The sequence below is a fragment of the Homo sapiens genome, chromosome 9 (genome assembly GCF_000001405.40).
Source record: "Homo sapiens chromosome 9, GRCh38.p14 Primary Assembly".
In the NCBI taxonomy this organism is placed as follows: domain Eukaryota; kingdom Metazoa; phylum Chordata; class Mammalia; order Primates; family Hominidae; genus Homo; species Homo sapiens.
The window spans coordinates 66,127,571-66,140,823 of record NC_000009.12 but is presented as its reverse complement, the minus strand read 5'-3'; the positions used below and the strand labels follow the sequence as shown (position 1 = coordinate 66,140,823).

Genomic DNA, 13,253 nt, shown 5'->3' with positions numbered 1-13,253 from the left:
AACATTATTGTCTGAAAACATTCATTTATTTAATTATGATCCCTAAAATCCTATATAATATTTTTGCATAAATAAGAAAAAAGATTTTTAAGTTAGTATGTTGTATGTTTCCTCTATAGTCACATTATAACAAATTGGACTTGTTATACAAATGGATCTTCGATTTCATTTTTATAATAAATTGTTTATATTTAGTAAACAAATAACTACAGTTGACCCATGAATAATGTGGGGGTGAGGGACTCTGATCCCTGTGCAGTTGAAAATCTGAGTATAACTTTTGATTCCTTCACCTTAGCTACTAATAGCCCACAATTGACTGGAAGCCTTCCTGATAACATAAACAGTTGATGAACACCTATTTTGTTTTTGCTGCATTATTATATACTGTGTTCGCACAATAAAATAAGCTAGAGAAATGAAGCTGTTAGAAAGGAAATCATCAGGAGAAACATATTGACTTTTCATAAAGCATAAGTAGTCCTGACAAAGGTCTTCATGATCTTCAGGTTGATTAGGCTGAGGAGGAAGAGGAGAGGTGGATCTTGCTGTCTCTCTGTTGCAGAGGCAGAAGAAAATCTGCATATAAGTGAATCCCTGCAGTTGAAACCCTTGCTGTTCAAGGGTGAACTGTATTACATATTGATTTGTGTCACTAAGAAAGTAACTATCTTTAGAACCAGGAACTCAGCAATCCCTTTCTGGTACCATAAATAAATGGCAATAAGAACTGTAGAACTGAACCAGTGTGCACCCATACAAATAGGAGATTATTTTTTGAAGACAGCTACTGAGCACAGGAGACGGAAAAGCAATTCCTTTGTGAGAAGCACAAGTTATATTACATATTCGTACACAAGCAAAATGATTTTATCTGTCATAGTTTACATACATACACATACACACGTGCACATGTGCACACACCTGTGCACACAGACACAAAGTTAAAAGTCCTGCTGATTCTTAATGACCAAATCCAACTGTTCACAGAGAGCGGTGGATAACGCATCCTACTGTTTGGATGCAATTCTTTTGACTTTTTGACTTGTTTTGTGATGAACTGCCTTTAATGGGTTTAAATCATGTTTTCAGTTTTATGAGAAATGAAGAAAAAGATTAGAAGCAAGTAAACAGGAACTCTATGGTCAGTAGTAGACTATAATAGTATATTCAATAGTCATATGTTTTTCTCCAGTTACACAATTTACTTGAATGATGCACAATTAATCAATTATTATTATCATAGGAGATGGGGTCTCTCTATGTTGCCTAGGCTAGAATACAGTGTCTATTCATTGGTGCAATCATAGCTCACTGTAGCCTTGAACTCCTGGGCTCAAGCAGTCCTCCTACTTCATCCTCCTGAGTAGCTGGGACTACAGTTTTGTGTGGTTACATCTGGCCTGATACACAATTATTTATTTGTTTATTTATTTTTAATACAGGGTCTCCCTCTGTTGTCAGTACTGGTGTGCAGTGGTGTCATCTTGGCTCACTGCAACTTCTGCTTGCTGGCCTTAAATGATCCTTTCACCTTAGCCTCCCAAGTAGCTTGGACTACAGGCATGCACTACCACACTTGGCTAATTTTCTTTTTAAGGGATTTTTGTTTGTTTGTTTGTTTAATAGATGAGGTCTCACTATATTGCCGAGGCCGGTCTGGAACTTCCGGGCTCAAGTGATCCTCCTGCCTCAACCTCCCAAAATGCTCGGATTTACAAGTGTGAGCCACTGCACCTGGCCTTCAAAATTATTATAAAAAGGAATGAAGCCCAGTTGAGTTGCAGAAAATTGACCACTTTTTCATTTTTTTTCTAGAAACATTCATATTGTAGAACATATTGTCAATCACCCAGATTCTCTATTTTTTATTCAGATAAAAGAGGATTGCTGCTCATTTCACATTATTTTCTGACATTATTTTTTCATTTATTCCTTCTATGGCTTTATTCAATTGGATAGATATAGAAATACGAGAATCTCCAAGTCAAATATCAAGGCAAAAAAAGAAAAGAAAAACAGATTAGGTAAAGTTATTCTGTGAAATAACCATCTGATTACAGTTACACGTATCATATCAACTTAATACAAATCTTACACAATGAATTTGTGTCAAGGTTTCCCAAGACCACCCCAGGTTTGGTGGTTCATTAGAAGGACTCACAGGACTCAACAAATAGTCATACTCAGATCTTTAATTGATAACAAGGAAGGGGACAAGCAAAATTAGTAGAGGAAAAAGGTGCATGTGGTCAATTCTGGAGGAAACAAGGCACAAGCCTCCAGGAGTTCTGTCCTGTGGAGTTCCCGGGATCTGCTTAATTCTCCCAGGCTCACATTTTGACAACATATGTGCAGTGATGTCTACCAGTACCAGAGTTTCATTAGAGACTAAGTGCCCAAGTTTTTCTATGGAGGTTACTCTCCCTCACATGTACCCAAATTCCAGACTCTTACAAGGAAAGCAGCTGTTTAGAGTAAATACACTGTTTCTATAAGCACTTTAGACACAGTGAGCCACTCTTCTCAGGGAATGGTGGAAACCCTCCCATTTCCAATTTCCTAAACACCAGCCAAGGGCCAGCCTTGCATGCAGGCCTTTCTAAGGATGGCAGCCTCTTGCCTGCTATATGAAATCTTTTCTGCACAACACTTGTAACCCCAACTTAATTTTTGGTGTTGTTTTAAAATTTCATTTTAATAACATAATATTATAAGATAAGGTAACTTGGTACTAATTTCTGTTGTATAATCCATCTTAAGTTGCAGTGCTTGTTACTTTTTTGACTTTTGGTGATGAACAGCTATTTGTATATAAGTTACCATAGCAATGTTAGGTAATTATAATCTGTCCTATTTATCTCATTAACCTTTCAGTAAAATTGTTAAATTAAATAAGCAAAATAATTTCTGAGTTAACATTAGAATAAAAATTGTCTTTTATTTTGATTACATGAATAGTCTAGTTTTCATATTGTGCTAAATCCCTGTTTAGAATTATGAAATAAGATAAAATATTCAATTATTTTTATCAATATTTTCTTACCTAAGCATGCAATTAAATTTATTTATTTTATATATTTTATATAGTTCAATTTGAGAAGTAATGACCACATGTTGTTACTTTGGTCTTCAATGATCTCTAATTTTTAGGGTCACCGTGTCTTGCTTAAATATATCATAGTAACAGGTTCAGTGAATATCTTTATTTTTTATTTTATTTACTTATTTTTTTGAGACGGAGTTTTGCTCTTGTTGCCCAGGCTGCAGTACAATGACATAATCTTGGCTCATTGCAACCTCCACCTCCCAGTTTCAAATGATTCTCCTGCCTCAGCCTCCTAGGTACCTGGAACTACAGGCATGCACAATCATGCCTGGCTAATTTTTTGTATTTAGTAGAGATGGGGTTTCACCATGTTAGTCAGGCTGGTCTCGAACTCCTGACCTCAGGTGATCCACCTACCTCGGCCTCTCAAAGTGCTGGGATTACAGGCATGAGCCACTGCCCCCAGCCATTTATTTATTTATTTATTTATTTATTTATTTATTGTAATTGTTCTGGAGATCCTGGGATGCATAGACAGTGAATATCTTTTTGTTTTTTGAGATGGAGTCTCACTCTGTCTCCCAGGCTGCAGTGCAGTGGTGCGATCTCAGTTAACTGCAACCTCCACCTTCTAGGCTCAAGCGATTCTCCTGCCTCAGCCTCCTGAGTAGCTGAAATTACAGGTGCCAGCCACCATGCCCAGCTAATTTTTGTATTTTTATTAGAGACGAGGTTTTGCCATGTTGGCCAGGCCGGTCTTGAACTCCTGACCTCAGGTGATCCACCCATCTTTGCCTCCCAAAGTGCTGAGATGACAGGCATGAGCCACTGAGCCCAGCTGAATATCTTTTTTTAAATCAATAACCTTATTTCTTAGAGCAGTTTTAGGTTCACAGCAAAATTGAGAGGAAGGTACAGAGATTTCTCATATATCCCATGCCTCCCACACATGCATAGCCTCCCCCATTATTACTATTTTCCACCAGAGAGTGGTACATTTGTTACAACTGATGAACTTACATTGACACATTATAATCATTCAAAGTTCATAGTTTACATCAGGCTTCACTCTTGATGCTGTACGTTCTGTGAATTTGGACAAGTGTATAATGACATGACATGTATCTATTACTGTAATATTATCGACAGAACAGTTTCACAGCCCTAAAAATTCTCTGTGCTATGCCTGTTCATCTTTCCCTTTCTCCCTAGTAACTCGTGGCAACCATTGATGTTTACTCTGTCTTCATAGTTTTACTTTTTTCAGAAGAGTCACATAGTTGGAATAATACAGTGGATATCTTTTTGAATAGTTAAAAAATTAAAGCTCCATGGCAGTTGAATGTAGTCATTTAAGATGTTCTTTGTCCTTTTGTTTTTCTTTTGCTTCTTTATCATTGTAAAGAATGATATATTCTGATGACATATGCTTTACATACTTAGAAAACATGATTTGTATAGATATGTGCACATAATAGAAAGGGTTGAGGAAAAGGACACCATGCTGTACCACACAGCACAAACTGGAGCATCTTGCTCTGTGAGGTGGGTCCAGATAGATTCTCTAGCAATGGAAGGGGACAAGTGCAAGGGGTTGTACTTTATAAAACTGGAATCACAAAGTCTTTCATACTTACCTTCGGTTGGAAATAAGACCAGACAGTGAATGCTATAGGTAAGTACATAGGTTCCTCACTGATCCTCTTCCTTTGAGGGATGAGGTTGACAACAGCCTGTATTATGATGATGTGACTCACCTACAACTAGATTCTGTCATGAGGGATAGCAAGAGAGTTTTGCTTTCTGTGAGGTGAAAAAGAATTTTTTTCCCCTACTAGGGAGAAGGGCAAGCACTGGAACATTCTGGTAGTAAAAGGGCATTGATGGTTTTCTTTCTATATATTTTTCACATCATATAGTACTGTCCAGCAGCCTGCCACACCTCCCTGGTGTTTCTTCAGCTTCTCTCTGAATGTGAGGTGTGGTTCCTAGCGTATAAGCTCTTAAAGGAGTGATCTTTCCAGTGGTTTTTCTGTGGGAGGTAAAATGGCAGGTGAATTTGGGCCTTGCTATATGTAGGGCAGAGCAAATAGCTACAACTAAGTAAACCACCCAGCACCTTCCCCAAAGAGTAGTAGCCAGAGTAATACATTGATCTCTTTTGAGCTCTTTTCCACTAGCGGCTGGAAAGTCTTTGCAAGGATTCCTGTTTCTGGTCGGATTCCTATGTTTTGCTGACATCTGGTGTTAGGGTGTTTTATTCTAAACTGAGCAGTTTGAACTGAAGAGCTAGAGAGGCTGTGTTGTGTTATAACAAAATAAGTGCAGTAGCTCCCCCTTAACTGTGGGAGATACATTCCAAGACCCCCAAGTGGATGCATGAAACCATGAATAGTACTGAATCACAAACTGTTTTTCCCTATACATACATATCTATGCTAAAGTTTAATTTATAAATTAAATTGAATCTGATGTTACCAGCAGATAAGGTGTGAGAATTGAATTGTGTCATCAGCAGGAATGATTGCTTGCTTGTTGGTGGGGAAAAACCCTCCACACATTTGGTCACAGAAGCCTTCTTTGTTGATGATTGTTGCTGTGGTGTGACAGTAGAGAAAAATGTGTCAAGTATGTCTTTCTGCACGTATAGTGGATAAGGGGTACTACTGTGTACTCTGTTTTAATGGCGCCTCATATTTTGGTCCAGAAATCATGCTCTTTGACACTGGTGACTCATCACACCTGTTCTGCTAACAATACCATTTTTACTCAACCTCATAGGGTTTGGCTAAGATGACTTGCATACTGCAGTTCACTTGTAGATACCAAATTTTAATAAATTTATTCTTCTTTGCATCTAATAAATACAAAGGGAAGAGTTCTTACTGCATTAATTACCTACCAATATGTATAACGAATGTTAATTCTAATAAGGTCCCAGGCATGCTCTCAAAGGAATGCTTTGTAACAAAGCATCAGTCTTATGCTTTAAAAAACCAAACCAAAACAAAACAAAAACAACAACAACAAAAAACAGGATCTAAAGCATACATACAAGTGTGCACAATTTTTTTATGAAGGTAGAGTCTTACTATGTTTCCCAAGCTGGTCTCAAACTTCTGGGCTCCTCAAGTGATCCTCCTGCCTCAGCCTCCCAAGTAGTTTGGATTAGAGGGATGCATCACTGTGCATTCTTATGCTTTTAATATTCTGTACATTTGTTATTGATTTAAAATGCATTTTACCTTTTTCTTTAATAGATGTTGGAAGTTCTGATGAATCTGCAGTCAGGTAGGATTTTATAGATTTAAAAAATTATGTTAACTAAGAAAATATAGATGGAAGAAACGAATATCTGTTGAGTGTTGTATTCTGGGCTAGACATCCTAATATGTTCTATGCGTTTATCATCTCATAAAGCCATCACAACATCTGTGTTCCTATAACCTACTGTTTATTAAATAAACAACTATGGATTAGAGCTGATTAATTGCCTCATGATCCCATAGTTAACAAAGTAGCTGGCCTACAGTTTGACCATCAGCCTGCCTGCCTTCCAAATCCTGTCTCTTGCTCCTCAGCATAGATTGACAGATATCTGTGCAGCCCTTGGATCAAGGTATAGGTCTGAATCAGATTAGTCAGATTGATTAATTTGATTAATGTCTAAATTAATGAGAGTTTAAATACCTTGAACTCTCATTTAAGTTTATCATTAGAATGTGGTTAGTCCAAGAGTTTGTCCTAATAAATTTGACAATTTCAGTGGTAACCAGTATCTTATTTTTACCATCAAAGGCTCTAGGGCAGATCTTACTTAGCTTTGCCATAGGGGTGTAAGTTTTACAAAAGCAAGTTTAGGCAAGTCTTAGAGACAAATTATTTGACTTCCCAGTTTGGTTTTCCATTTAGGCAAGTATTTCTGCTTACTTCCATAATACATTTTTTAGTCTTGTTGCTTTTTCCGTGACTTTTCTATAATCTTGCCTTCATTTTTTAAAACTTTCTTCTCTGCTTTTCTTGGTATTTCTTTTGTTCTATTATTTTTTCAAACTCTGCTGGCTATGTATTCTAAGTTTTTCTATAGACAGAATCAAGAGGACATAGAATTACAGAATTTTAAGGAATCTTGGAATGAATTAAAATACCTTCTAGTATTTTTACCTGTGTTGAACATTCTGGTCAAATGATTCTCTAGATAGAGAATGTGAGGCTCAAAGAGTTTAGGATGCTTTTTTTTAGACATAGGAATTGGCAGAAATGAGATTTGAACTCATGTTAAAGCCCAGTACTCTTGCTTCTTTTTATATCCTATTGGCGTGTGTTTTAATAATACAAACGGGAGTGAGTCTGTGGGTAGAATGAGAATGGAATTAGCTGGGGAACCCAATGGAAGTAGATAAGAATGGAATGAGCAGGGGAAGTCCAAGTTTGAAGATAAACAACACTGGATTGGATAGGAGTACAGACTCTTCTATAAGAGATCAAAATATTGGGGTTTATGACAAGTTTGATAAAGATAAATTATAAAAATGAAGGACACAAGATGTTGGGAATTATCTACGAAGGCACATTAAAATAGAAGGTTCAAGGGAGCTCTAAAAAGTTTGCTGCTTTTTTTTAAATCAAGGACTGACAAACTTGAAGATTTTTACTGAAAGATGCTAAAACATTTTGAGACACTGGGAGGAGCGTCTGCAGCAGATAGAAATGTGGTGTCATCTACTTCCATCCTGACTTAGAAAGGGGTGGCTTAGAGCCCCTGGAGTACTAAGGGGCTGGAGATTGCTGAACTACATAGATCTGTGGCCCAGTACAGGTGTCTCCTCACCTCTGCCTCTTTTCCCGATTCACTGATGTCCTTCCCATGTCCATGTGGGCTGGTTCAGGGGCATGATTGGCTGGCAAATCAGTCATGGAGTTCAGTTGGGTAGTTGGTAGTGTGTCTAGCTGGGGGCAGGTGATGGAGACTCCAGTTAGCTTGTTTTTCAGGAGCAGGGATATAGAGAGCTCCTAGTCCTGGTCATTTGAGGCCATCCTTTCAGGAATCTGTGCTTTCATAGACTGAAGATTTAAAGATTGGAGACTTCTGTGGAGCCCTGCAGAAGTGGAATCTGGAAGTGGGAGCCCATAGGAAGACAGATACTTAGAGAGTACTTAGGGAAATAGAGGTACACCTACCAGGACTCTGTTTTTTTCTGACAGTCTCTCTCCTTGGGTGTCTGAGTGCCTATGAAAAGTTTTAAGGGCTTGCTAGTTTATGTGGACCTGAATAAGGTAGGACCTATAGGGTGAAAATAATGGGATTTTATAATTGTTAATATTTCAATCTTTCTGGGAAAAGTATTCTCAATAAGAACATACACCTTTGTTATTTGACTTCTGTACATTTAGCTTTCATACATTTCAAATATTGTAGGGGCTTTCCTGTACTGATTTAGGGCAAAGGAAAGCAATAGGACCTTCCTAAGTGGGTTCCATGCTGAGGAATCAAGACTGCCATATTGAAGTGATGCAGATTAGTCTTTTATCCAGAGACAGATCATGGAAAAGAGACAGTGGATCTTTCTACCTTGTTTTAGGTTGTTAGTTTTCTTCCAGTTTAGGTAACAAAATTTATGTCATCCATTAATTGAATTTTAAGTTCAGCTTCAGGACAGATAATTTGTGAGGGCAAATCATTGTCAGGCTCTGCCAATTTATTGACTGTCACTATTTGTTATAAAGCTCAAGGTTAGTTTTCATTGAATATTTTATAGATTTAGACAAGTGGAGGCAGAAATAGGTAACTAAAATCTATTTTTAGAAGAGGACATATTTTAATTATATCAAGAATCACTATTTAATATATAGATTGCTGACCTTTCCCTAGATTATGGTTTCCTTTTTTGAGGGGGAAGCTGGATATAAACTGGCAGTTAAAAAAATTGTAAAGAAATCAACTTGCTCATTTTCGTTGTGTGTTTTTGCTCTCAAGCATTTTCCATGAACTGCGTGTGGATTCATTGCCTGCATCGGATGACAAAGACTTGAATGTTGCTACTAAGGTAAAGTGGTCTCTTGTAAAATTAATTTTCTCACTCTGAATGTACTTTTGCATAGTATTTACTTTTCAAATTTAGCAGTGGTTTACCTATCATTGTTTTATGGTGGTAATGGAAAGTTGGTCAGAGAAAAACATACATATGGCTAGTTGATTCAAAAAATGTGTTTAACTTTGGTAACTAACAAAGATTGATAAGTACTGTGACAGGGTGGGAGCTGAAAAAAAATGAACTGGAAAATTAGTAGTGACAGGAAAATCACATTAGGAAATGCTTTCTCCAATAGAGGAAATATGAAATTTGCTTAAGGTTTATTTGGATAAATACTAATACTTTGACTTTTAAATCATACGAGTGTGACTTTCTTAATATTTATGCCTGTATAAATCTTCAGTGGATCAAATTATTTGCAGTAATCATGGGATCCTCCTGGTGATTTTTAGTGGCAAGAATATTCAGCACATAGCATATAGCTTTTGTTCTTGGAAACTTATTATTTTGGTATCATATTGTTTTTACGAGAGATTGTTTTTCTACTTATATTATTGGTTCTGTAGTGAGACAAAAAAAAATAAAAATTGTAGAAAAATAACTGAGTGTGGTGGTGTACACCTGTAGTCCCTGCTACTTGGGAATTTGAGGCAGGAAGATTGCTTGAACCCAGGAGTTTGAGAACAGCCTGGGCAACATCGTATCTGATTTAAAAATATAAATTGTGGAAATATAGAAATTTAAATTTATGTTCTCAAAATGTGTATTGCAAAGGAATTTTTGTGTGGTTTATGAGTTGTCCATGAAGAGTTTATATAAGGCACTTCATCTAATTGAATAACATGTATTTTGCTGCAAATAACCAGTTCTAGAAGCAGAGACTCTTAATACCAATGGATGGTAAGACTTTATCCTCATAATTTTGTCATTGTAGTTTATTTAAAATATTTACTTCACCAGGTGTGGAGACTCACCTGTAATCCCAGCAGTTTTGGAGGCCGAGGTCGGTAGATCACCTGAGGTCAGGAGTTCAAGATCAGCCTGGCCAACGTGGTGAAACCCTGTCTCTAAAAAAAACCAAAACCAAAACAAAACAAAACAAAACAAAAGCAGAAAAATTAACCAGGCGTGATGGTGCATGCCTGTAACCCCAGCTGCTCAGGAGGCCAAGGTGGGAGAATCGCTTGAACCCGGGAGGCGGAGGTTGCAGTGAGCCAAGATCGCACCATTGCACTCCAGCCTGGGTGACAGAGCAAGACTACATCTTAAAAAATAAAATAGCCACTCAAAGTCCTCATATCATATTCTGAAATTTTGAATTTCAGAAGGTTTTCTATTTAGTTGTTTAAATAATCATTGGAAGCTCCTGCATACCGTAAGCTACTGGAGGTCAGTAAACATATTTGTGTGTATCCTGGAGTACCTAGAATACAGTCTTCCATGTAAGAAGCATTTTAGTTGTTGTTTTTTGAGATGGGGTTTCACTCTGTCCCCCAGGCTGGAGGGCACTGGTGAGATCTTGGCTCACTCCAATCTCCATTTCCTGGGCTCAGGTGATCCTCACACCTCAGCCATCCAAGTAGTTTAAACAATAGAGCTATGTCACCATAGACCTGTGTCACCATGCTCAGCTGAGTTTTGTAGAGACAGGGTTTTGCCTTGTTGCCCAGGCTGGTCTTTAACTGTTGGGCTCAAGTGTTCTGCCTGCCTCAGCCTCTCAAAGTGCTGGGTTACAGGCATAAGACATTCAGCCTTAATAGTTGTTTAATCTGAATAAATAGACAAATGAATTTTTATATAATGGAATGTTATAAGTAATATAATAAACCTAATGTATCTAATAATTAAATATTGTATTTAAAATATTGCTTACATTGTATTTTTTAATATTTAAGGGTGTATAAGTTTTGATATGTTATGTTGAGAAATTATGCCATAATTAAAAAGGAAATAAAATAGAAATAGGTCATCAGTAGCAAATAGGGTTACAATATATTTTCTAGTATCATTCAACTGGAATCTTAACATTGAGATTTTAGATTAACATTTCTTAAGCTTTTTATTAGCTCTAACTCATGTTCTATTAAATATACGTTTTCAAGCCATACATTACTCTTTATTATTCTTATACTGTAAGTTCTAGGGTACATGTGCACAATGTGTGGGTTTGTTACATGTGTATACACGTGCCATGTTGGTGTGCTGCACCCATTAACTCATCATTTACATTAGGTATATCTCCTAATGCTATCCCTCCCCCCTTGTCCGCCCCACGACAGGCCCCAGTGTGTGATGTTCCCCATCCTGTGTCCAAGTGTTCTCATTGTTCAATTTCCACCTATGAGTGAGAACATGCAGTGTTTGGTTTTTTGTCCTTGCGATAGTTTGCTCAGAATGATGGTTTCCAGCTTCATCCATGTCCCTACAAAGGACATGAACTCATCCTTTTTTATGGCTGCATAGTATTCCATGGTGTATATGTGCCACATTGTCTTAATCCAGTCTATCATTGATGGACATTTGGGTTGGTTCCAAGTCTTTGCTATTGTAAATAGTGCCGCAATAAACATACGTGTGCATGTGTCTTTATAGCAGCATGACTTATAATCCTTTGGGTATATACCCAGTAATGGGATGGCTGGGTCAAATGGTATTTCTAGTTCTAGATCCTTGAGGAATCACCATACTGTCTTCCTCAAAGGATGAACTAGTTTACAGTCCCACCAACAGTGTAAAAGTACTCCTATTTCTCCACATCCTCTCCAGCACCTGTGGGTTCCTGACTTTTTAATGATCGTCATTGTAACTGGTGTGAGATGGTATCTCATTGTGGTTTTGATTTGCATTTCTCTGATGGCCAGTGATGATGAGCATTTTTTCATGTGTCTGCCATACGTTACTCTTTAGAATTCTGGTGACCAATTTTTTTCTGGGTGGAAAGTTGATTGAAAGTTCTAGTTTTCTCTCTGTGTTATAATAATGTTCTTTCAGGTAGTGGTCGATGACCATATTTAGCTAATTGAATGTCTTATAGTAATAAGCTATATCACAGAAGTACTTACAAAAAACTAATTGTAGCATAAATATTAATTAGTATTATCAGGGATATGAAAGAGCAAAAGGCTCTGTTATAGATCTATTTCCCCATGTACTTTATTGTACTTCATGTTGTCTCTTTTCTTTCTTGGCTTAAGCTCATATTTCATTGACCAATTAGGCTTGTTTTTTGTTTGTATCTCTCTTCATTCTCATATTTTAAATTGAAATTTTTGGGGAGTCAGGGTCTTGCTCTGTTGCCCATGCTGCAGTGTAGTGGCATGATCTTGGCTCACTGCAGTATCCACCTCTCAGGCTCAAGTGATCCTCCCACATCAGCTTCCCAAGCAGCTGGGACTACAGGCGCACACCATCATGCCTGACTCCTTTTGGTATTTTTTGAGTAGAGATGTGTTCTCATTATGTTGCCCAGGCTGGTCTCAAACTCCTGAACTCAAGCAATCCACCCACCTTGGCCTTGCAAAGGGCTGAGATTACAGGTGTGAGCCACCATGCCTGGGCAACATTGAGATTGATTTAAAGAAATTGATTAGGGCTGGGTGTGGTGGTGCACACTGCTTATCTCAACACTTTGGGGGGCAGAAGTGGAAGATTTACTTGAGCTCAGGAGTTTGAGACCAGCCTGGGCAGTATAATGAGGCCTTGTCTCTGCAAAGATAACAATAAAAACATTAGCATGGCATGAAGGGACACACCTGTAGTTCCAGCTATTCAGGAAGTTGAGGTGGGAAGATTGCTTGAGGTCAGGAGTTTGAGACAACAGTGAGCCATAATCAGGCCCCTGCATTCTAGCCCTGGGTTGACAGAGTGAGACCCAGTTTCATAAAAAGAGATTGATAAGAAACTCTTGATGCAACTCATTATAATTTTAAAATGGAAACTAATTCTTGATATTACCTTAGCAGTGTGTCCCCGAGAAAGTGTCAGAGCCTTTACCTGGATCTTCGCATGAAAAAGGAAACAGAATAGTCAATGGACAAGGAGAAGGTGAGAACCGTATTTTATTTAAAAAGTCTTTTGATGGAGGCCGGGTGCGGTGGCTCACGCCTGTAATCCCAGCACTTTGGGAGGCCGAGGCGGGCGGATCACGAGGTCAGGAGATCCAGACCATC

The 13,253-nt window shown here is 37.8% G+C and overlaps 1 pseudogene across 6 annotated transcripts in view; it reads left to right on the top strand.

Annotated features, from left to right (window-relative positions):
• Positions 1-13,253, top strand: part of ANKRD20A3P (ankyrin repeat domain 20 family member A3, pseudogene) — a 59,242-nt pseudogene that overhangs the window by 12,364 nt on the left and 33,625 nt on the right. For 5 of the 6 annotated variants that reach the window (XR_001746296.3, XR_001746295.3, XR_007061553.1 and 2 more), the window contains exons 7-9: positions 6,310-6,340; positions 9,027-9,096; positions 13,044-13,128. The product of XR_001746296.3 is annotated as an ankyrin repeat domain 20 family member A3, pseudogene, transcript variant X2 (transcript). The remainder of the gene's footprint in view (positions 1-6,309; positions 6,341-9,026; positions 9,097-13,043; positions 13,129-13,253) is intronic. The other variant, XR_007061555.1, reaches the window with a different exon arrangement.